Raw genomic sequence first — 24,588 nt, 5'->3', positions numbered from 1 at the left:
GGATAGCAGCCCAGAGGGGATGCTAAAAGGCCTTTGTTTCAACTTTGGACCAAAAGGCCCTGGGTCAACAAAGCCCAGACCTGATGAGGAGACCTGGACCTCACTGCAACTATGGACTCACCTCTCTGAGCCCATTTCTTTGCCTGTGAAATGAAGAATAACTAAGCTTCCCTCCAACACTAAGAATCTGTGATTTGACAGCACTTGGGAAATTTCATATAAGGGAAAAGATTTGGGGATGAAAATCAGTGATTCAGTGGCCCAGTCAGTGGCCCTTGGGTCTTTTAATCCCCAGCTGCAGGTGAGCGATAGAGGGTTGCCAATGTTCTGTAGGAATGAGCGTGCTCCAATCAGAGCCAGAGACTGGACCACAGGCACAGGCCTGCCCACCAATCCCATGGTGACCTTGGAAGGAGCCCCCTGTCCCGACACTGCCACCTGCTCTGTATAGGCCACCTCCTTAAATGCTAAGGTGGAACCCAGCTCTGGTAGGGCCCAGGGCCCGCAGGCTGACTCCTCGGCTACCTCCATGCCCAGCCCCCACATCTCCTCTCTAGGCAGACGCCCGTGCACTCCATGCATTCCACCTGCAAGCAGAGTCGCCGTTCAAGAAAACATGCAGTTCACGCAGCTGGACCAGCACGTCCAAGGCCCCGGGGTATGAAAGGGCATGATATGTCTGGAGAGAGGGAGAAGCCCTGTGGGACACAGGGAGAGGCGAGAGTTGGGGAGGTGGTGCAGGACAGGAGTACAAAAGCTGTAAGATGAGGTCCAGGTAGACCCAATCGAAGCATGAGAGGTAGGGGGAGGGAAGGAGGAGACCCTGATGTTCCTGGGATGTATTCGTTCCCTATTGCTGAGTAACAAATTAGCGCAAACTCAGCAGTTTAAAACATTCGCTATTTATGGGCTCACAGTTCCATGGATCTGAAGTCAGGCAGGCTCAACTCACTTTTCTGCTCAGGGTCTCACAAGGCTTGAACCAAGCTGTCAGCCAGACTGCGGTCATCTCTAAGGCTCTGGGGAAGAGTTTGCTTCCAGCTCATCCATGTCGTTGACAGAATTCAGTTCCATGCATCTGTAGGAATCAGGTCCCCATTCTCTTGCTAGCTGTCAGCCAAGCACCACTCTCAGTTTCTAGAGGCCACCCTCAAATCTTGCTCTATGAGCCCCTCCCTCTTCAAAGCCAGCAATGGTGTGTCCAATTCTTCCAAAATCTGCAAAGTCTCTGGCTCTGCTTCCCCAACCAGCCAGTCTCTGCTTTTAACATATTCATGTATTAGGTTTGGCCCATACAGAACATCTCTCTGTTTTCAGGTCATCTGATTAGTAACCTTAATTACATCTGCAACATTCCTTAATCCCACAACTGTGGGAATAACACCAGGAGGCAGTGGTTGGAGGTTTGTGGTAGAATTCTGCCTTCTGATGAGATATCAGCTGACATATCACTAAGATAAGTAAGACAGTTTCATCTGTCAGTCACTGCGCATCCAGGTGAGAAGCAGGTGGACAGCAGCAGGGGCAAGTCTGAGCAGCTCCCCATGGGCTGTACTCAGAGGGAGTTGCTTGTGCTGGATCTGGATGGGAAAGGGACTCGGGGACTTTGCAGGGGTCCTTCTGAGACATTTACTGAACTTCTATAAAAAGAAAATTGCTCATCTCTGGCAGGTTTTGTGGAATCCCGTGCTCCCCAATAGCAAACAACACTTCATGTGACCTTCACTGATTTGCAGCCTGACACCATCAGCTCAGTCTCAAAGGGTCACCCATCCCTTCTTTCTGCTCTGAAGGCAGCTCTGCTGGATGAGCCTGTACTCCACGAGAGGCATAGAAAACACGCAGGCTGTCTCCTTTCCACAGCACCTTCTTCCACCCATTTTGGTCGGGTTGTATTTCCTAGGAAGATGCCACTTCTAAGATGTCAATTCTAATGCATTTTCCTCCATGCGACAAAGAGCTAAGGAGGACTCAGCCCACTCTGTTCTCCCAGAAACACTGTTCTATTCTGAAGCTCAGAGGGGAGTCTTGCGGGACAATTGTCTTATTGATTGTTATCAGGCTGTGCTTTCAGGCTTGCACAGTCATCCACAAGCCTTCTGCCTGCACCACTTGCCTGATCATGGTCTCAGGGATGGTGGCAGGTGGCCCTCATCCTCACCCACCCTTGCATCTCCACCCTCCCCAGCAAGCTACCCAGCCCCCAGACTCTCTTCCCTTCCACCCAAGATGAACAAGCTTCTGGACTCTGTCAGATGTACTGAGTGATTTAGGGAGAGTCAGGAAAATGGAAAAGGAAGCCCAGGTGAGCTCCCTCCAGCCACGGCCCAGGACACAGATGCAGATTGGGCCAGACCCAAAGGAGTCACATGATCTCCACTATAGCAGGGGCTCCTCTGACCAGGAGCCTTCCTGCTACCCCCAAGCCTATACTGGCATCCCTAAAAGTAGGGGACTCAGGTAGGTGACAGTAAAGAGCTGGACCCTGAGGACAGGGATGGAAGGGGCAGAAGCAGAGCATGGACAGAGCATGGAGAAACCTAGGAGACAGAGCGCTGCACCCTGGGCACACTGGGATATGTGGAGCCCACCCATGTTTGCACAGGGTGTGATACTCTCTTCACCGGGAAACTTCACCTCCTCATCACTGTCATCATAGCCCACCTCATAGCCCAGTCATCCATCCACAAGCCCACCTCAAAGATCAGGACCTTGGCCCCCAGGGAAGGGCATGGAATAAGCATGCGGGTGTGCATGGCTCTTTGCACCAGGCCGGGCCCTGGGCAGAGACTGACTTTGGGCTCAATCAGACAAGGTGTCCGCTGGACCTCCACACAGGGTCAGGGCCTAGCAAGTTTGAGGGGATGGATCTGGGACACTGAGTGGATGGAAGGGAACTGGAGAGAGCCCCAGGCCAGGCCAGAGAGCTGGCGCCAGGCCCAGCTCCTGGGAGCAGAGGCTGCTCGTTTCTCGTCTGAGTCCCCAGGGCCTGGTTCACAGCAGGAGCTCCAAAATGGAAGTGAAGGTGGAGGGGGAAGGGGGAAAGAAAGGAGGAGGAAGGGAAGGATGTGGGAGAAAATGGACGAGAGGGAAGAGCAGAGGTGGAGGTGGAGGTGGAGGCAAAAAAAGGAAGAAGAAGAGAAGGTTGCAGGGAGGGAAGTAGAATTGGAAAGCAGTCTTTGGAAGCCACTAGCAGTGCTCAGGAGGGAAGCACAAGTCACAGCTTGGGAAGTCTTGGACTGGAGAAAAATCGAAGAAATAGAAAGAAAAGGGAGATGGTGAGAAGGAAAGAAGCCGAGGGTGTTTTTGATGCAAAAAGGTAATGGAATGCCAACTGTGACATATTTTTTAGTTGGCCAATGAGAGTCTCATAAAATTAGCAATTGGTATGGGAAATGGTGTCCCCACACTCACCTTTCTCATTCCTGTCCTCACCGTGTTTTCTAGGCAGGATGAATAAGAGACGGATGGGCTTGGGAATGCGAAGCCATGGGCTCAACTCAATGCTGTCAGGACCTTCCAGGCAGGCAAGGATCAGTGGGGAGGCCATGCCTAGCACTGTGCCTGGCACAGCACATGTGCTCAGGAAATGCCAGCTGAATTAATGAGGGGATGAATGAATGAACGCTTGAACCACATGGTGGACAGCCTATGTCCTACCCTTGAAGCCCAGCAGCCCAAGGCAGTGCCTGTCTTACCCAGCATGAGGAGCTCACAGAGGTTTTAAAGGCCTCTGCTGCATCAGTGGGCAAGAAGCCATGCATCTTGTTGGTGCAGCCACCAGCTCCCAGTATCTAGACTCTGCCACCCTGTGTGGATGAACTTTACTCACACACTATTAGTTGATGAAGGGAGTGAAATTATTTGGCAATTTTATTCTAGTTGATAAAGGGAAGTTTGAGCTAGACCTAAAAACCAAATATAAGTTTGCGCTAGGACAGAATTCAAAGCCGTGTAGTCATTCCAGGCACCCCGAGGCTTCCAGCTGGCCCTGCACACGAACTTAGCCACTCCTCTGGCGGCCGCTTGCAGCAGCTCAGGTGCACCACGCAGGATCATGTCTCATTGCCCCCAGTTAAGTCATAAAGTCTCTCCTTTGTGACCGTGGAAAGACAATACACTTTTGACATTTTGGAGGGCATACTCAAATGAGGAGTACAGGGGTTGGCATCTTAGAAAAGCAACTGAAAAACACAAGAATCTCAAAAAAGCAAAATTGGGTATCTGTTTACTGAGCTGACCCTACACGCCTTGGTTTGTTTGCCAACATCCTTGCTTTTCCTCTGAAAAATTCATTTTTTATTTTTTCTGAAGTGGCTTCAAAACCAATACGCATTGTACTTCTGAGGCTAATGGTTTAATAAAATATATAACACAGAGAATTAGAGCCCTTAAAAATAAAATAAATCTCAGAGATCATTTTGTCCTATCATCTTGCCAGGAGAGGAACAAGGAGACCTCAGCTCCCTATGTGGGCAATGCTGGGTGTGGGCAAGGAATGCCTGACTCTCCAAGCTGCTCCTGTTGTCATTCTGTATCCATTTCATCTTCACAACAGGTGCTTTGCCAGTGCCAATTTTTACAGTGACCATATGCAAAACTTAAAAAAATTAAAAATAAGAATGCTTTACTTTCATTGCTCTGGGGGTGGCAAAGGTTTGTTTTAGACATGTGATACCTAAAATCCTGCAAACGGCAGTCATGTTTCCAGTTCAGTGAGGGCTGCAAGGTAAAGAAGATGCCCCAGCTGGATCCCAGGCTGGAATGTGTATTTTCACCCAGGCACTGGAGCCTGCTAAAGCAGAGACAAGCCCTGTCCCAAGGTCATGTGGATATATGGGAGCTGTAATAGCATGTTAAGGAAAAGGAGACGGTAACTAAATCCAATGCAGACTAAGCCAAATGCAGCTTAAAAACTGTTGGGTGTGCTTGTGTGTGTTACAGAATATGTAAGAGGAAAAATAGAAGTTCAGAAGGAAATATTAATACATCAAAACTTGCTGATGGTCAGTTACAGGCACTTTTACTTATTTCTTTAATGTTGATGTATTTTACAATTTTTCTGCAATGAATACATATAACTTATAAAGGTAGAAAGTTATCTAATGAAAATAGCCTTCTTTCCAAAATAAGCCTGCCGCAAGTGCTCCAGCACCCGGAAGTTCATGGCAGCAACGTGTTGGTCCTGAAACCAGACGGCTAGTCCAAAACCCACTAGTTCACTTGGAGTTCTGTGGTCTGGGACAAATGTCTTCGTTAGCTTTTAAGTATTATTGTCATTAACATTCATTCAGTGCTTTCTAGATGCCAGGCATTGTGCTCGTCTTTATGGGTCACCCCCAACACATATGTAGTGATAATTACCACGCACTGAGGGCTTATATATGCATTATCATATAGGGTTGTTGGAAGTACTAAATGCAATTATGTGTTTATAAACACTGGACATTTTATTATCTGCCCTCTGAGTTAGTTCATGTTAATAGCATTAAACACCTGTTCATCAAAAAAAAAAAAAAAGAAAAAGTTTAGCACAACTTTTGGGCATGGCACTGTGTCCCATCATGCATTTATTCACCTGAAAATTCTCCTAGCCCTTTGGGGTTCCAACAGGTGGCCTCATAGCAAGCTCTAATCAAAAAACCAAGGGCTTACAACCTCATGTTCTACAAGTGTCGCTTGGCCAACAGGAGGGTCTGCCTACCTGCTCTGTGCAATGTTCTGCTGAATTTACTCATTTAAGGGTTCATTTTAAAGTAATCAAGTCCACTTTGTGTTTACAATAGCATGTTCTGGTCATTTTGCTGGAACGCAGACTGGTAGACAGGCCCACCCCAAGACTACCTCAATAAGAAAACCTTAAGATTTCAAGCAGCAAATAGGTAAAATAGTAATGAAAATTGGGCACAAATACAACTGAATTTTTTATCTAGGCTTCTGTCCCATTGAGGAGTAGATGTTTTTAGGAGCTGATAAATGGAAAACAAGGACGCTTTCATTACAAGAAGAGTAATTCAGTACAGTTTTCCTGTTGCCTCAAGAATCCTCCCGTAATTTGGACGGAATTTTAGGACGTGGCACTCAATGAGGTAAATCAGCCACCCCAAGCACTGAAGACAGCACATCATGCCTCCTTTGCCCAGAAGGCTCAGCCTGCTTGGCAGTCTAGCTGACAGCACAAGGGTCCCACATGTATTTCCCCTGCTGAAAGCAGCTAGTTAGACACAGAACGAACTCAAGGCATATTGGTCTCATAAAAAAGATTGATTCGATCAGGACATTTCCCCCTAGTTCCTTTTTAAAGAAAGTCTTGGCTTAAAATATTTAATTTTTTTTTCCTATGAGTCTTTAAACGGAATTGTGAATAGCAGCAATCCTCGTAACTCTGATGTGGGCAGAGAACACTGAAAATAGTAGATAGCAGATGCCAGGCCCCCTCAGAATTGCTCATGCCTATTTATATAGATGCTGCCTTCCAATTTTTTCTCAGATCTTCCAAGTTCTATCACAGCCATGACAAAGTAATGACTCATACTTAAATGCAGTCATCAATGTCATATTTGGTATTAGTACCTTTGTAGCATTGCTTTGTGTCAGAGCATTTAAGAGGAAAAAGTCCCCAAGAGCAGGAGCAGTCTGCCACCATCCTCAGGGACCACAAAGGGCAGGGCCTGCAGAAGGCAATGCTCATTGTGCAGGAAAGCCTGAGGCCTCCTGCAAGCTGTTCAGATAAGCAGCTGTAGGAGGGAGGGGGAGGAGGGCCGAGGAGGGGGAGGGGAGGCACAGGTCACTGTTATCGCCTTGGAAGGCAAGACTTCAGCTGCTGCACTGTCTTATCTCAAGTATGCTCCTGTTTTGCAAGTTTAAAATCTTCCTAAAAGGAGAAAAGTAGGAGCCAGGCTCAAGTTCTACCCTAGCACTGGGCAGCATGCCCTCCCTCTGCCAGAGGGGAGGAGCCTGTCATTCTTGCCCGACAGGAAGACGGAACAGGTGCCATCAGTTCCACGGAGTTCCAGCAATCCTCTGAAACCCTGCACGCCACCTCCCCCGACACAAAGATCCCCTACCCTCAATAAAGAGCATAAGTTTGTTTCAAAAAGTTTATTGTAAAATTCAAAGCTTCAACAGCAGCATCCTTTAGAAAACGAAGCATTGCCCGGATCCGTTTTGAAAAAGCAGCGCAGTCGGCTAAGTCCTTCACGCTCCTGCAACTGTACCAAGTCCAGGGCGCCGCTCCTTCCTGCCGAGCGCAGGCTGCTGAGTCACGCCTGCCCGGCCAGTCTGTCCTTCCTGGCCCTGAGGCCAACGTCCTAGCCTAGGCCTTCCTGGGCGAGCAGCCGCTCCAGACACTTGCAGAGTCCTCAGCTCGGACCAGCCTGGCCCTGCCGCCACCGGGCCCCTCCTCGGGAGGCCGCGCCTCCTCGCTCTCCAGGCGCCCCCCCCGCCTGCCAGTCTCCACGCCGCACTCGGGCACCCTCGGAGGGCCCCTCCACAGAGCCAGCCGCGCTCTAGGCGCCCCGGGGCGTCACCACGTCGATCAGACCAAGGTCCCCGCCGGGCTGTCACTCGGGGAGGGTGATGCTGGGCACCCAGTCGTTAACGCTGCGGCTCTCCTCGCAAAACAGGCTGAGCTTCTCCAAGGCGGGATCCTTCCAGGCGTCCTCGTTGGGGTTCTGCGGAGAGAGAGCAGGGTCAGCCTGGCTGGCCGCGGGCCGAGGCGGGAACGACACTGGGGCGGGGACAGGACGGGACTGTACTCACCGAAATGAGGATGCAGTGCAGGTCGCCCGGCGCACCCGCCTCCTCGCCGGCGCCCACGATAGCCGCCAGCCGCTGCACATCGCCCACGCGCACTATGTCGATGTCGTTCTCGCAGCAGAAAGCCTGGATCAGCGTAAAATGGATCTGCAGCGCGATGTCGCCCTCGTCCTCCTCACCCGCAGCCAGCACACAGAAGGTCACATTGTCGGGGTCCCTGCGAGGGCAAGGCGGGGACCTAGGTCAGAACCGGCTAGCCGAGTTCTCCCGCCGCCACCCCTCCCATCCGCCAGTCTCCTCGCCATTCACCCCCGCCCCTGTCTCCCAGCCTGGGCCGCGTCTACACTTACACGTTCAAGACTTTGGCTGACTCGTAGACGCCGGCAGTGAGGCAGCCCTGACGCTGCGCCGACAGCAGCAACTCATGCAGCGCTTTCCCGGCACCCTGCATCCTGCGGAGGAGCCAGCGCAGTGAGCGGGAGCCGGCCGGAGGGCGCGGCGGAGACCCCAGCCCCGGCCACCGGCACACACCCTTGGCTCCCCAACTCCAACCACACTCCAATCCCGGCTCAGCGCCTGCACCCCGGCTCTCCAACCGGGATCTGGCGCCCGGACCCCCGCGCTCCCCTCCTACCCCGCGGATTCCCACCCTGGAAAACCCTGACGGTCGCCGACCGACCAGCGGCTTTCTCAGCGCCCTGAAACCCACCTGGCTGTGCTTTCCGGAACTGTGTCCTGGCCGCGGACTTCTTCCAGAGTCATAGTGCGATCAACCAGCAGCTAGTTATCCACAAGCGGAGAGCGCGGAGGGGACGCGGGCGAACACACTGACAGCCAGAGCTCAGCACGGCGCGCCCACCACCAGCGAGTGCGCCCCTACTACGCTGCGCGCCCTTATATAGGCTGGTGGGTGCGGCGCCGCCAGCTGGCGCGAGGCTGCGCGCCTATTGGCCGGCACCCGCTTTCTGATGTAAATGAGGCGGCGAGCCAGCGGCTCGTGCCAGAAGGCCACGTGGGGAGGGGTGCGGGGGATGACAATGCCTCAAATCTGCCGCTTTTGTTGGGGTGTTACCAGGCAGACTGGAGCCTGCAGATTTCATCTCGCCTGGCTTTTTTTTTTTTTTGAAGTCCTTAAAAGGAAAAAGTAAAAAAAAAAAAAAAAGAAAAAACCCAACCCACAAAAACCTTGTTTGCTTATATGATGCTGCAATTTGCGAAAAGCACCTTTATAGAAGCAAAGGGATTTTTTTTTGCATTTTGTATTGCTACCTTTCTATTTGTTTCTTTTCTTTAATTTGAAGTCTATGAGACTGTTGCATTGGAGCCAGAAATTAAGGTAAAAACAGGTAGCGCCAGTTAGAGGCTTGCAAAAGGCAGTGGGCACAGCCCCCTGCAGCTGACCACTAGCGTCCCGAGCGCGCTGGTGATGCCTGCCAGGCATACTCAATGTGTACATTGAGCCGTCTCTGGAAGATCCCACCCCACCTCCCCGCCCTTGGCCGAGCGCGGCGGGGCGCGGGAGACGGGGGCGGGCGGGGACGAGCAGATTGCGGCCGGCGCACGCCGCTCGTTTGCATTTCTATGGAGGGCGCACAATAGCAGAGGTCTGGCGTGTGGCGGTTTGCTGTAGGGACAATCGAGGCTTTCTCTTCATAGCAACACTGTCCACCTGCCGCCGGGTGGGGTGGGCAGGACCCCGCCGCGCGTGGGGGTCGCCGGGCTGCCTGGCGCGTGGGGTCGAGGCTGAGTGCCACTCCGTGGTCCCTGAGTGCACGCCCCCAGTACTGGCCCTGCTACAAGTAATTCCCTTCCATCCGTTCCTCGCACGGGTGCCGAACAGCCGCGCGAGTTGGGAAGGACGGAGAGCTGCTGTGCAGTCTTCGCGGCTGGACGCCCTGTGGCCGGGACCCCGCGGCTGCAGCCCCTGGAGCTTAGGTAATGCAGCTCGGAATCTTTCCCGGGGCGCCATCTGCAGGCAGGTTAAAAAGATCCTGAACCCCTTTTGTCCTCCCCTCCCCCCAACACACACACCCTTGCATTGGCCTGGCGCGGGGGAAGGGCGGTGGAGAGGGACGGCCACGGAGCTGCCCGGCCGGGCCCAGTGAGCCCTGTCCAAGCTGCGCATAAATAGAACCCGAGTAAGGGCTGCAAAACGCATTCAGGTGGGACTGCAGTTACCCTGGGGAGTAGAGGGCAAAAGGAAATTCCCATCCAGTACTGATGGAGTAAGAGCCCCTACGTCTTATACCATGTTGAAATATCTTAATTACTTAAATGCGCATATGTAAAAAGCCTTTTTTCCGGCAATGGAATAAGTCTGGAAGAGATCTTGGGAGAGTTTAATAGGCTAGAGGTTGCTGCCGTTTGACCATACACGCTGGCACTTTCAGAGGATTCACCCACTGAGCACCTTCTGTGCTACGTGAAAAGGCGCGCTGGGGGACACCTCATTGCTTCCTTTTTTTGGGTGAAGCCTTGGAGACTGGCCAGGACAGTGGCGGGCCGGGTGGATTGGATGGAAACCCGGGCCCTGCCGCAAGACTGGGGCGATAATGGGAAAGTAAACAACGCCGTGGCTTTGTTCCTTTCATTCAGGCTTTCTTCAGGTGGGTGGTGAATGTACAAGGTACTTCTGAATTTGTTATGGGGAAGTTTCCATTCTGCGCTTGCAGGCAGGCACTTCTGCCAAGGTGAGAAGCTGGCGTCTTGCGCCCCCCAGCGGCTTCCTGGCAGAGGAGAGCTGCAAAAGCCCGGCCCTTCCTGGATTCTAAGAATGAAGAGCTTGCTCTCCTAGCATTTCTGAACTCCAGAGGTGTCTCCTAAGGACGGGGGGAGAGGGGAGGGGGAAGCGGAGCCAGGCGGCATTATGCCCCGTTTGTTCGCTAGTTTCTTTTCTTTCTTGATGTATAAAATGATGATATGCCTTGATTGGATAAAATATGTTAATTTTAAGTGATTGGAATATAGGTATTACTCTTTTAAAACTATTAAACTTTTCTTTTCTTTTCTTTTCTTTTTTGAGACGGAGTCTCGCTCGGTTGCCCAGGCTGGAGTGCGGTGGCACAATCTCGGCTCACTGCAACCTCCGCCTCCCGGGTTCAAGCGATCCTTCTGCTTCAGCCTCCCGAGTAGCTGGGACTACAGGTGCGCCACCACGCCGGGCTAATTTTTGTATTTTTAGTAGAAACAGAGTTTCACCATGTTGGCCAGGCTGGTCTCAAACTCCTGACCTCGTGATCCACCCACCTCGGCCTCCCAAAGTGCTGGGATTACAGGCATGAGCAACCGCACCCGGCCTACTATTAAACATTTCTTAAAATGTATTAGTCCCAGGTCCCCAGGACATGCTGGAAATAAGATTTACTTAACATGCTAGCACCCACCTCTCCAATTTATGACGCTAAAAATCTGCCTACATGCCAGGCCAGAGAAAACAAAGGCTAGGCCTGAAGCCTCAGCCCCTCCTCCGAGAGGAAGGCCACTAATGAACACTCCCGGCTTCGAGTTGGGGGTGGGTGCATTTCCAGTCCCTCCTGAGCTAGCCTGGACCAGAAGAGATGATTGACGACCCCTGGGGCTGTTCTACTCTGCTCACATTTTTAAAGTATTCAATTTCAGGAAACTGCCTTTTTGACATATGATACAGCCTCACTTTGCTTTGTTATGTCAGTCCCAATGGCCCCAAAGCCCCCATCTCAATTGGGAAGAACAATTTTGTCTGCAGGCAAAGGTGGCCTTCCAGCAGACCCACCACCACCCTTCAGTTCAGACACATGCTGAAGCTTCTGGGCCTGGGATGCCCCTGTGTTGAGGAGTGGGCAATGCCCACTAGAAGTTTGAGGATCCAGAATATCCCACTACACGGCTTTGTGGCCACAGCTCTCCCAAATTGCATGCAGCAAGGGACTTGGCCTGCTCTGTGCTTCAGGTCACAGGTGGCTGAGATGTTGTCCTGAGCTTCCTGTGACTGCACCCCTAAACCTTCCCCTAAATCTCAATAATGCAGGTGATGGTGACTTACTTAAAGGGATATCCTCAGAGATGCTCTATTCTAAAACCTTTTTGGAAATGTTTATAGTTGAACTGTTTTTATTAACACATTCTCTAAAATGTGCTTCTCATTCTTCCATGGCTTGACTAGGTCATTGATGGGCAGATGTCTTTCATTTGGGTACAGAAGGAAATGAGCTTTAAGTAAGCAGTAAGCTTTATGAGATATTCTTTGTTGTATTTTCACAAGTTACTTATGTGTGGAGAGTGCACAACATTGTTATTAAATAGCAGGTGTATGCCCTTATCCTACCCAAACAATGTGCCAGAATCCACGACCAGTCAGCCAGAGGCTGTGGGATGCAAAGCTGGCTACGCACCAGCCCCTTGCAGACTGCACGTGGGATTTCTTTGGCCTATGAGGCGTCTTAGGCAAAGTCAAATTCACTGCCACTTTTCAAAGTTAGCTGCATTCATATAAACATCTGGATTTCTAGCTTCTCTTGGAAAATGGGTAGATTTGGCCATGATGTGCCTAGAGTCCCCTCCCCACCTTGGTAACCTTCAGCAGGGGTCGGGGGCACTGGGATCCCGCATTGGGCACTGCTCTCCCATTCACCTCAATCCCCACCAGACCCCAGCTGAGGACACCTGGCTGCTTTGTTCATTTACATCACCCTCCTGTCACCTGCAGACATTTGCGCTTACAATCAAGAAACTGAAGTTTGAAGCACAAAATAAAGGGGCCAAGTTCCTAAAGATGAAGCCAAAAAGGTTGAGCATCATTTGTGTCTCAGCTTGTGCAGGACAGTGTCCTATGTCAGCACAGGGCTCTTGGAGCACTCTGGGCTGGCCCGTTTCCAAAAGGTTTCATGTTGCCCTCACTATTCTCCCTCGTCCAGCCCCTTCTCGGGCCAGAACAAGTCTCCTCGGGGGTCCTCTGTTGGGTTTTCTTCGGTCCAAAAAAGCTCTTGAATGATAGGGGGCAGCAGCAACTCAGTGACAATAGTACATTAACTCAAAAGGAAGCCAGGTTTTCATGCAGGACACATAAAAGCTATTACTTAAAACCCAACAGGTGCATCTCAGATGCCTTCCAGCATGTGAAGGACACCATTGCATTGGCTCTCACCACCACCATGCCCTCCTCCTTACCCAGGGTGAAGCATGAATCTGCACATGGGGAGGCTTCAGAGGACAACTGAGACAAGAAGCAGGAAGCTGAGAAAGGAGGACACCTCCCACACACACATCTAGCAAAAGCTGGACATTTCTGGTCAGTCATCCTTATGCAAAGACTTTCTGGAAGGAGCAGTTATTCTTGGGTGAGCACTTATGTAGCATGAAAGAGGTTAACATTAGCCCAGGGAAATCCTTCAAAGTAATTGAGGGGGAAGGATACATTATTTATGCATTTGTTCCCTTCTCTATCGACAGTAAGAAATGATTCATGGCACCTGTCACAGTCCTAGGTAGTGACAGACACCAGCCTGCACTGTAGCTGAAAACCCCTGAGAAGCCACAGATGTGCAGTCTTCCCAGCTTGACTACATGCCCAAGTCTTCTGAACCTTAGTTTCCCAACCTAGGAAATAAAAATTGTGCCCTTTACCCCTCATGAACCTTATTGGGGTCTTATAAGATTGCTCCTGGTTGCCATTTGGCCCACAGATGGGTTTAGTTTGGTGGACAGTGTCCCGAAAGACTTACAAATTCAGATCTGACTTGTTCATTTGTGTAGGGGAGAGTTGGTGGCACACATCCTCTCTGTCACTGTAAGTATGTTCCAAATGTCACATTAGGTCCACTGGCACGTGTAAGCCCTGTCTGGCATTTGCCTGGTCCCTGCAGGCATTTGGGTTGGCAGTAAACTTTCTTTTCTAACAGATTTCTGGAAATGTTTACATGTAGCATATAATAGAATAATAGAACCACAGAACTTCCACAGTAAAGCCTTCCTTCTTTTATGTTCCAAAAGCTAAAATGTACTAACAACCTCCAAAAGGCACTATGACATTGGAGTTTAAACTTTGTGGAGCAGGACTCAAAGCTGGACTTAGCTGCTTGCTAACTTTGACCTTGAGTGAAGAGTTAGCAGATGATTTAAAGTGTAAAGTAGAAAGAATTCATGCTGGTTAGCCCATTAAATACCCGTTAATTAAGCTCTCCAAAAACGCCATTCAAAAATGTATATGATAATCAAATATTTATTGCAATGTTTCTTAAAATAGTGAAAAATTAGAAAACATTATAGGGGGCTAGTGTTAAATCATGGTGTAACCAGAAATGAAACATTATGCAACCATAAAAAGGAGTTCTGAAGAGTAGTTCCCGGCATGATATAATGTGAAAAAAAGCAAAATACGAAATTGTGCAATTCTAATTTTGCAAAAACTTTCAGCGTACACGACTATCACTGTATAAAGTCACAAAGTAGGAATGGTGATTGTATCTTGGAGTGATGAGATTATAAGTGATTTTTAATTTTCTTCACTATGCTTTACTGCAATTAAACATTTACAATTCAATTTTATTTAACAAAAATATATAAAACTTCTCAAATGGAGTAACTTCAGTACCAGACATCCTCAACCTGACTGCTCTGGAGGTTATTGTGCAGAGCAATCTTTGACCATATGGTCACAGATCCAGAAGCCAGACGTCTGTGGGGCTTTGCTCCTGAGACTGTGACCTTTGATTCCTGCACTCCTCCTCTTGCCATCTGACGCCGGTCTGCGCCTGTGACTGAGTGAAAATCGTCATAACTGTACTCGGAGGTTAACTCTGGCATGACTGGGATGGAATCCCAGGCAACATGCTGGAGGCAGGAAAGAAGGCCAGCCGGCAAGTCAGAACCAAACACCCTGGACGGCACCTTTCCTTACAAATGCGGTTCACAGGACCCTTGGGGATCCTCTGCGCACACTGAGGCAAGCAGCAATGGAAGAAATTATCTTCCACTCCCTTCTTGTTGAAAATGTCTGTTTTCCAGAAATGAATTACAGTAATAGATTATGAAAATTGTTTCCATTGCCTACATAACACAGCAGGGAATTCTAAAATTTCAAAACATGTAATATACTCAACCTGTGCTTGAGACTGTAGGGTATTATTTAATTTTTCAGTGTTTGAATTTTGTCTGTTTGAGAAGGGTGTGGCACTCCTTGAGTACACTATTAGTAGTATTGTTGTTATTTTATTTACTAGACTTTTCCAGGACTTGCTGTGCACCAAGCACTGTTCCAAGCACTTTGAAAACATTGTTTAATTCTCATAACAAACTCGTTATGTAGGTGCTATTATCACCATTTTAGGCATGAGGAATCTTGGGCACAGAGAGGTTGAACAACTTGCTCAAGGTCACACAGCCAGGAGGTGGCAAAGCTGGGTGTTCTGAGCTCCTCTCTGAAGCAAGAGGGAACAGATGAATTTCACTGTGAAACCATTTCTCGAGCCTTTAGAACAAACCATTTGACCACCAAGGACAAGGAGAGCATCCAGGTGAAAATGAGGTTTCAAAACCATTTTTGGTTCTCCTCAGGAACCCTGAATCCAACAGTGCCTGTCCCAATGTCATGGTTGCAGGGTGACATCTTGCGGTCAAAGAGAATATCGCTTCCAGCCCTAAAAAGTAGCTTCTAACACCTCAGCTGGCCTAAACCCTTCCAGGCCTGCAAGTGCTGCCCTGTAAGCGTGTTTCTGGTGAGCCCATGGGCTCTCATCACACATTAAGGTTAATATCCAGATGCAGCAGACCCTGGTAACAGTGGGCTCAGACCCCACTGTGCCACAGCTGGGCAGCCCCCGAGAAGTCAGGCCGGCTCAGAGGATGGTGCAGTAGGGTTTGGTAGTCACAGAGCAGTGTGAACCACCATCAACAAGGAAAAGAGACCCCACCATCAGGGAGCGTTCCTGTGTCAGCTGTAATACCCATGCCCACTTCACAGATAGGAGTACTCAGTTTCAGGGAGTTTAACGACATGCCCAAGGTCACACAGCCAATGGTGGAGCTGGGATTCTAGCCAGCATGTGCCAGGCCTCCAGCCTCAGGTTCATTGGGCCACACCACAGGCAGAACATTGGCTTACAGCTAAACAGCTACCCTGGGGCACAGCCTACTGTGCAACTCAGCTGTACTTGGGAGGATCAGTCAGGGTGTATACCCTGCTTTTCTTACAAAATCAGGAATTCTCTGAATCACCCATGGTCTTCAGTTCTGAATTCCCCTCATCAGCCACACAATGTGAAGTATATAGGTTATTTTTTCTTACTCACAAACCCACAGGCAAATTTAAACTTGGGAGGGACCTGCAAGGTAACTTCCTCCAAAACTCTGCCTAATTTACCAATCTCTTCAGCAACACCCGACATGAACAGCCTGCCACGGGTGAAATCCCATATGCGGCATGACATCCACCCCAGGGAAGGTGAGTCCCACTTGCTGGTGCATTTCCCATGCACCCAACACCTCCCAGCGTTGCCCTCTCAAAAGGAACAGGAGTCACAGCTCCTTCATCTCCAAAGCACGCAGGTGCACCCTGAAGATGCCCATAGACCTCTGCTGCCCAGTGCATCCAGGGCCAGCAGCCTCAGCTTCCCCTGGGAGCTAATTAGCCTCACAGAATCAGAATCTGCCTTTTAACAAGAGCCCAGGGTAATGCATGCATGCATGCACATAAGTGTGTGGTCATTCATTCGCCAAAAGGTGCAAGGTATAGGGTGGATGGGAGGCGCTGTTTCAGAATCTAAGGGGCAGGATGGTGTGAGGCCCCCACAGGAAGCCGCTGTCAGGCAAGGGCAGATGTGAGAAATATAGACTAGTTGCAGAACCTTGAGGCTTATCACGGTCATGGCCACTCTTCAGATTACCTCTGAATCTGAGAACCGGTGAGGGGGCAGACTGCTCACGAGCCCTCGGGTCTGCTCTCTGATGATCCACAGTAATGGCGTTTTGACTTTGCACAGGGACTCCCAGCCAGAGACTGCATTCCCAGTCTCCCTTGCTGCATGGGGTGGTCTTGGGCCCCAGTTCCTCTACATTCCTTGCTCAAACAGAAGTTTGTAGCTGGCCAACTAGCTTCCTTCTCCTCCTTGCTGTTGTGACTCAATTATGCAGTCACAAGGGAAGGGGTCTGGGGTCCTGCATGGCTGTGTGGAGCCGAGCCTCCTTGCTAGCCTGTACACTCCACACTGTTGTGTTCAGTAGACAAGACACAATCTTCTGTCTTAAGCCTCTGTATTTTGGAGGTATTTTTAAATTTTTTAATTTTGATAAAGTTTCAAACATAGGAAAATTATAGAAATAGTAAAACAAAGTATTCCCATGTACCTTTCACCCAGATTCCCCCATTTTACTATATTTGTTTCAGCTTTGTCTCTCTCCTTCAAGTATATATATTATTTTCCGAACCAGTTGAGGGTAAGATACAGACATGTTGCCTCTTTTCCATTAAATGCTTCAATGTGTATTGCCTAAAAACAAGAATATTATCCTAAATCTATCAACTGTAGTAAAATGATGAAATTCAGGAAATTAATATTGATATAATTACCTAATCTACAAACCATACTGAGATTTTTGTCAGTTGTTTCAGTGATGTCCTCTGTAGCAAAAGAAAGTCCAGGATCACAGGTCCATTCAGTAGTCACATCTCTGTCATCTCCCTGAATCCAAAACCATTCCTGAGTTTTGCTTTGTGACAGTAACATTTCATGGCATTGATATCTTTTTAATATTTCAGGCCTGTTATGTTACAGACTCCTCTCCACCTCCACCCCGCACACTGCTGGGGTTTGGCTAGCTTATCTGCTGTTTCCTCCTGATTCAATTCAGGTGATAAACCATTAACTGGACCATCACAGTGGTGATGCTGTGTCCTTCTTGGTGTGTCATATCAGGATCATGTGCTTTGATTTGTCTTCTGGTTCTTGATTGTCATGGGGTGTCCTCTGGTTATTGATTGCCATGGGATGATGATCATTTGACCAAGATGGTGTCTGCCAGGTTTCTCCAGCCTAAAGTCGCTATTCTGCCCTTTGGAATCAGTGAGTGTGTTTTGCAGGAGGATGTCGGAGGTCATCAGAGCAGGGTGTCTGTGGTCACTAGTGTATGTGCTCAGTTAGCACTGGAGAAAACTCAGCAGCAAACCCAGGCTCTTTCGCTTATCAGGAGCTGTTGAGCATATATATTCACATCCTTCCCTGATATTTTGAATAGATGGGAAATGTTTACTAGTTCCCCTGAATCCACATTAAACCGTAATATTAATTTTTTAAAAAACAGCCCAGAAGAGAACCTGGATGGTGCATTTCCATTTTACTGAAGAGTCTACTGTAAGAAATAGTTCATGGCCGAGAGGACAGTGGGCTGCTCTATTCACTCTCGGTTTCCATGACAGATGACCCAGCTCAGGGTGGTTGAACCAGACGGCTCCACCCAGCCTTCCCCTTGTCTTCTCAGGCTGGATCCCACCGCTCTTGCACTTCCCCAGGATAATTGATTTAAGTAACCTGGAGAGACTCACCCTCCTCATGGAGGTATGTGCGTCCCGGCCCCTGCCTTGCTCTAGGATGCAACAGGCACTAAGTTCAATGAGGAAGAGGATGGCAACCCTGTCAGAGCAGGTGTCATGGACCCATGCAGCTCCCCCATCCTCTCCTTTGCCCAGCTCCATCCATCTCTGCTATTTTCCAGCTCGCCTCTGCTCCTGCTGGCCCCTGGCTTTGAGCAACTCCCTGCCCCACCCTTCAGCGCCTACCAGGAGGCCACCACCAGGCCACCTAGGGCCAATATGCCCTAAGGGGAGAGTCTTGGATCACCCAGGTGCTTCCTGCCTCTTTCCTCTCCTGTACAGTGGTGGTAACAACCTTCATCACAAGGATGTCCTGCCAGGTCTTTGAGTTGCTTACAGAGCCTTGGATCAGCCTCTTACACTGTGCCCATGAGAAGGGGGCTGGATGAGCAAGGACAGTGTCTGCCTCATTCCAGCTGGGAATGAATCCCCTCTGTACAAAGAGACAAAGATCCCTGCTTCAAGGGTCTGGGGACCACTGGCAAATGACAGGCCAGACCCAGGAAAGGGAAGGAGGAAAGATGGAAAGAGGTGGATGCGGCAAGGAGAGGGACCTGCTGGGCCATGGCGGGGGTGGACCTGGCCACACCAGCACTGTGTCAGGCTCTCAGCTGGTGCCAGGCAGTCTCTAAATAAGAGAGTGGGTAAACGGAATGAATTCTAGCAGGGAAGGAGGTAGAATATTTTCTCCAACATATGTCGTGAATATGCAATGTGACAAGAATTCCTCACTCCGTTTATGTCAGAAAATGTATATGGACATCTCCCTTTATAACTAATATGGAGCAATGCAGAGAGACCTACTGCTCTCCCTGATGGGTACTGCTCATTCCAGCAACTGGTGACAGAAAGGGTACCAGAGCTGGTAAAAGTGGTCCCAGCATTGTTAGGACACCGCTTAGCAGGCCACTCTTACACAGACATGGCCAAAGGTGCCAATTCCCTAACTATTAGTCTACGTAGACTATCCCAAATGAAGCCTCTTCTCAAAATTCTGCAGAAAGAGGTCACATCACCTAGGGATTTCTTGAAATGTAAACTGAATTTTTCACCCAGCACTTTGCACTGAGCACTTTACCAACAACACGCCTGGACCTCATCATTTCACCCACAAACTCTGGCAGGGAAGAAGTGGTCAGTCACTCTGGACACAGGCTCTGGACAGCAGGCAAGACCCAAGGCCTCAAGCAGAAGCCTCTCCTCCCTCCAAAGCCACCCTAGAGGGAAACATTGATGCTCCACCTGCCAACCTCCATCCCCTCCAGGGCAAAAGACCAGTCCGGTGAGCTACTCCCCCTGCTGGTGATGTTTGTGTGCCGCTGTAGCAATGCAGAGCATGTCAGCCTGGAGGGAGACCTCGGCCACGCCAGCCCTCACAGCACAATATGTCCAGGTTCAGGAGCTGGCTATTACTCTGCTCCACGCCCCGCTGGCTCGGCAGTACAGAGACACATTTGCCCTCCAGAGCGCAGTCTCATCTGAGACCCGCCCCTCATAACCCAGAAGCCCAGGGAGTCTGCAGAGATCCATGAGTCCAGGAGCCTGCTGAGAGCCAGCCTCCGAAAAAGTTCAATGTTCACTGAATTGCGGCCCCTGCGTGGCCTCGGCCCCTCCCAAGCTCACAGCTTCCAAGATTACAGCTCTCCCCTGCTTCCAAGATGTAAGAGTACTGGGCTCCTGGAAGACTCAATTTCTGAGCGCGTCTGCCCCAGCTAAACTCTGCACACATCCCAGGAGCATTGTGTGCCCCTGAGCAGTCCTCGCTGGTTTTCACTAAGGGCCAGCTCTCATGTATTTGTGGGAAAGAAGGACAGGCCGAGTCAATGCAGTTCAACCTCTGCCACAAGCATTAGTTGAGCGCCTACTGTGTGCAAGACAGTGAGCTGGGGCTGAGGATCGAGCAGTGGACTGGGTTCTGACCTCAGGAAGCCCATAGTCTGCTGGGGCATCTCCCAACCTTGCCGGACATTAGACATTCTCCCTCTTCATGTGTACCCCTGACAGGAGTGCTGCAGAGCCCCAGAGACAAAGCCACAGAAGGGAGTAGGGAAGAGTCTGGAAGATGCCTAAGGCATTGGGTGAGGGACAGCCCACAGCTCATGTAAACACAAGCTCACAAAGCCTGGAATGTGACCTCGTCGGGTCTCATAGGGAATGCAAGAGTGAGGAAGGCTGGTCTTGCCTGCAGACTCCAAAAACCACAAGGGGGCGGGGGACAGATGCAGTCCTGGAGCAGCTTCTCAGACTGATGCCTGGTAGAGCCCCACTCCAGGGCAGAAGGGATGAAGCCAAAGAGTGTTTCATTTTTAAATAGATCTGGAAAATGCTGGATTGAAAGATGTCTAATTCATTACCGAAGGACTTACCAAGGCTTCCATTATATCCAAGTATGCCTTGAATCTCCAAGAGCGAGGTTTGGGCATGCCACAGATATCAAACATTTGACCACAAAACTCTTTGTTGGGGACCATAAAAGGAGGATGCTATGGAACACAGTTGGGGACACAGCTCTCAAGTAGCTCCCAGCCCTAGCACTGCATCGGGGTTCGGTTCACATAGAGCAGTTGTTCTCAAAATATGGTCCCCTCACCTGGGAGCTCCCTAGAAATGCACATTCTTAGCCCCACTCGACCACCTGAACCCTGGGACCCAGCGATCTGTATTACAGCAAACTCTGCAGGCTCTAGTCGGAGGCCCACTGCAGTGGGGTAACAGGACACTAGCTATGACACCTGAACCCTGCCCCACTTCACCCTGGGTGCAATTCTATTCTTTCATGACCCAACGCCACTGCTGCCTGAGCAGTGAAGCTTCTCTGCCTGACGCCCCCTCCTTCCACACTCCAGCAGGAAGACTGCCTCTCCCAGTTTCCAAGACTCTCACATATACCTATTATCATCCTGTTGCCACACTTTTATGATTTGGTGATTGTCTGCCTTCTGTCATAGAGCAGGGTGGGGTCCTCAATCCTTGACTCTGAACACTGTCACGCACATGGAGCATCGGGGCCGCCATGCCGGGCTTGGAAGCAGTCTCCATGTCTCTTGGCAAGCGTGGGACAGTGGAAGGATGACATTAGCATAGGCATCCCCCAGAATGAGAACAGAGAGCAGAGCTCAACCGGGGGGTGTGGGACCCAGAGAAGGAAGAGGTGAATTCCAAGTGGGCAGCCTGGAGGAGGATGTAGGGAGAAGGTGTACAGGCAGGGTCTCGAAGGAGGAAGAAGAGCTTAAGGAACAAATGTGAACCAGCAAGCATGCACCCACGCTGCCATGTGCTGGGCCTGCTGCACAACTGACCAGGGCCCTATAGGGGACAGACACACAGGGCCAGACGGGAGACCTATAGGGTGCCATGGAGGCAAAGAAACAAGGCCACCCAGGATGGCTCCCAGAGAAAGGACCTCATAACTGTGATTGGAGAAGGAGAGAGTTCTCCAAAAACAACAAAAAAAGAGAAAACGGAACATTAGAGGAGCTTTCCTAGAGCCACTAGTTGCAACCCTAGCCTTGCTGGAGTGGGCGACAAGGGGTTGTGCAGCCAGGTGTCTGGATACCAGGTCCCCAGTGCCACTTCCTTCCCTCACCCTGTTCATCCCCACCAGTAGGGCCCTTCACTCTCTGGGGGAGGGCTGCCTAGGGACAGAGGCTTCCCTCTGGTGTCAGGATAACTGAGGTCAGCTGAGCAGATGGGCTCAGCTAGCCCACACTGCAGCCGGACCAAAGGACAGGATGGGTCTGTGGCAGAGGCTTGTGCTGTAGTCAGAGCCCAGAGTAGAGCCGGCTTTGTCCCAGCCCACAGGGGACACAGATGTCACCCCCTGCATGTCCGGGCACATGCTCTGATGGAACTTTTATTGCTGGAAATTGGGCCAAACTAAGCATAAATAATGCGATGACCCTGGCAAGCCGCTTTTGTGGCAGCTGCTCGGGTCATGCCGAGGCAACGATCTGAGGCTGAAGCCGAGGCCAGCTGCTGCCCAATGCAGCCCCTGCCCCCTGGCTTGTAATCACCCCTGGGCTCAGCTAACAGGGGCAGTGAGAGGGGAGAGGGGGTTACATTTTGCAGGCTTCATGGATGTTAAAGACAGAGTCCTGTTTGGCACCTTCTTGATGGTTTCTTTTTTTTTTTTTTTTTTTTGAGACGGAGTCTCGCTCTGTCACCCAGGCTGGTGTACTGCAACTTCCACCTCCCGGGTTCAAGTGATTCTCCTGCCTCAGCCTCCCAAGTAGCAGGGGCTACAGGCACCCACCACCACTCCAGGCTAATTTTTGTATTTTTAGTAGAGACAAGGTTTCACCATGTTGGCCAGGCTGTCTCGAACTCCTCACGTTGTGATCTGCCCCCGTCGGCCTCCCAAAGTGCTGGGGATTACGGGCCTGAGCCACCACACCCGGCCCTGATGGTTTCTTAAATACTAGAAGGTTTCAACTGGGGACAAGGGGTCTTCCCACCCTGGAATTGCGTGGCCCATTTATGAAGTCTCCCTGTAACTCAAGGGGTACAATATTTTTAAAAAGTCTCCCATGATTTTGAATATTCACATATACAATTTCAAACAGTAGCATTAACTCAAAATTCCAGAAGCAGATTGGAAGCACCAATTCTACCCCGATGCCCACAGACTTACTTGGACTGGCCATGCCCATCTGTTTGCATCAAGGCAGAGAAAAGAAATAAAGAAGGAGTGGGAGGTCTCACCCCAACCTGTGTAGAGGCCTCTGTGGCCAGCACCTTCCACTCAGCTACCAGCTCAGCTTGGGTGGATCTTAGGATCTAGTCCAAGTTAGCAGACAAAGCCTCTCTGGCAATGGTACAACTACCCACCCAAGCGGGATTTAGGATGCATATAGACATAACAGCCTATATTTCTGGGAACTACAGAAAAGATAAGAGATCAATTTTAAAGTGCACATTCTAGGTCATCTATAAAAACATGAAAACACTCCAGAAGCAGCAAAACAGTTTTCACCATGCATGAAACACACACACCTGACTCTAGTATCTACCTGTCCTTAATTCAATTTCCCCCAACCCCACCACTAAGGTCTTCCTACCCCTTAGGGGCCAGAAATAGCTGCTAGCCAGGGACCCCACCTCCTGATCAGTCTATGGTTTGTGGCCGGACCAGGTGGGTTTGGCCTCATCTCTTTGGTGGGGGGCATCTGGACCTCTCATTCTGTCAACTGTCCCATGAACAGCACCTAGCTGTGGCTGCATACAAAAACTGTACATCTCATCACAGGATCCATACTACTGGACTAACTATTGAAAAGTGACGTCATGTCATATCCTTCTTCCTCGAACCACTAAAAGGTTTGTGATTGTTCACCTGAATCCGTTCTGGAACAAAGGTCCCCCTGAGTTGAAAAGGCCTTTTTGTGATGCTGTTTCCTTTTTGAGTGCTACTGAAAACACTGAAACATTCAATAATAAAAATAACATCAACTGAGCACTTCTGTATCAGGTGCTGTGCAGACACTTCTCATTTAATTTTCACAACAGCCCTATGGGGCAGCACTCCTATTATTACCACTCCAGCTAATGTGGACACAGGTTCCCAGAGGTTAGGTTAGGTAATTTGCCCAAGGTCCCAGCAAATATGAGTCAGGAAAGAACACTGGTGCTTTGACTCCTGAGTCCACACGCTTAATCACGTTGGAGTATTGCCAAATACTCCAAAATCTTAAATTCTTTTTTTTTCTTTTTTTTTTTTTTTGACACAGAGTGTTGCTCTGTCACCAGGCTGGAGTGCAGTGGCGCGATCTCGGCTCACTGCTACCGCCGCCTCCCGCGTTCAAGCGATTCCCCTGCCTCAGCCTCCCAAGTACCTGGGACTACAGGCACATGCCACCACACCCTGCTAATTTTTTTGTATTTTAGTAGAGACGGGTTTTCACCATGTTGGCCAGGATGGTCTCGATCTCCTGACTTCCCAAAGTGTTGGGATTACAGGCGTGAGCCACTGCACCCAGTCAATCTTAAATTCTTAAAGGTAGAAGGACCCTTCTGAATATGTAGCAAAGAAATGACAAAAACTGGTGCATCAGTGCCTCCATCAGTGAGAGGAAAGGACTTTCTGCTGGAACAAGCTGAGCTAACATCACAGTGACCTGAAGACAACAGGGTTTGTTTCTCTCACCACAGTTCTGAGGCCAGCAGTCCAGGTGGGCCTGTGCAGGTGCCCAGATACAGGGCCCCTCCTGGGTCATTGCCCTTCATTCCCAGTTTGAGATACTTTGTTACAGCAACCTTGGGAGACCCTAAAG

At 50.0% G+C, this 24,588-nt stretch overlaps 1 protein-coding gene and 1 long non-coding RNA gene across 6 annotated transcripts, besides 3 other annotated features; one reads left to right on the top strand and one right to left on the bottom strand.

Moving 5' to 3' along the window:
* Window positions 1,749-2,297: an enhancer, noted in NCBI's record as "NANOG hESC enhancer chr9:92226260-92226808 (GRCh37/hg19 assembly coordinates)". NCBI's record gives its function as "activates a minimal SCP1, AML or CMV promoter by ChIP-STARR-seq in naive H9 embryonic stem cells {active_cell/tissue: H9 hESC(naive)}" and the evidence as "EXISTENCE:reporter gene assay evidence [ECO:0000049][PMID:30033119]".
* On the bottom strand, window positions 7,087-8,630 carry GADD45G (growth arrest and DNA damage inducible gamma). 2 transcript variants are annotated; one of them, NM_006705.4, is made up of 4 exons: window positions 8,468-8,630; window positions 8,109-8,210; window positions 7,762-7,975; window positions 7,087-7,673 (listed from the first exon to the last, which is right to left on the bottom strand). In NM_006705.4, the coding sequence occupies exons 1-4, from the start codon at window positions 8,518-8,520 to the stop codon at window positions 7,563-7,565; spliced, it is 480 nt and encodes a 159-aa protein (NP_006696.1). In that variant the 5' UTR covers window positions 8,521-8,630; the 3' UTR covers window positions 7,087-7,562. The 2 variants fall into 2 exon arrangements, with proteins under 2 accessions (NP_006696.1, XP_011516465.1); XM_011518163.3 differs by lacking the exon at window positions 8,109-8,210.
* LOC105376139 (uncharacterized) lies at window positions 8,626-14,846 on the top strand. 4 transcript variants are annotated; one of them, XR_001746826.2, is made up of 2 exons: window positions 8,626-9,094; window positions 12,908-14,846. It is a non-coding gene; the product is annotated as an uncharacterized LOC105376139 (long non-coding RNA). The 4 variants fall into 4 exon arrangements; XR_001746825.2 differs by having other exon boundaries at window positions 8,626-9,693; XR_930105.3 differs by having other exon boundaries at window positions 8,626-10,902.
* Window positions 8,921-9,819: an enhancer, noted in NCBI's record as "OCT4-NANOG-H3K27ac-H3K4me1 hESC enhancer chr9:92218738-92219636 (GRCh37/hg19 assembly coordinates)". NCBI's record gives its function as "activates a minimal SCP1, AML or CMV promoter by ChIP-STARR-seq in naive H9 embryonic stem cells {active_cell/tissue: H9 hESC(naive)}" and the evidence as "EXISTENCE:reporter gene assay evidence [ECO:0000049][PMID:30033119]".
* Window positions 9,261-9,310: a silencer, noted in NCBI's record as "silent region_20016". NCBI's record gives its function as "represses an Ori minimal core promoter by ATAC-STARR-seq in GM12878 lymphoblastoid cells {active_cell/tissue: GM12878}" and the evidence as "EXISTENCE:reporter gene assay evidence [ECO:0000049][PMID:35858748]".
* Window positions 14,847-24,588: the final 9,742 nt, after the last annotated feature.

Source organism: Homo sapiens, chromosome 9 (assembly GCF_000001405.40).
Source record: "Homo sapiens chromosome 9, GRCh38.p14 Primary Assembly".
Lineage (NCBI taxonomy): Eukaryota > Metazoa > Chordata > Mammalia > Primates > Hominidae > Homo > Homo sapiens.
The sequence above is the reverse complement of the archived record's forward strand: the minus strand, read 5'-3'. Positions and strand labels throughout refer to the sequence as shown.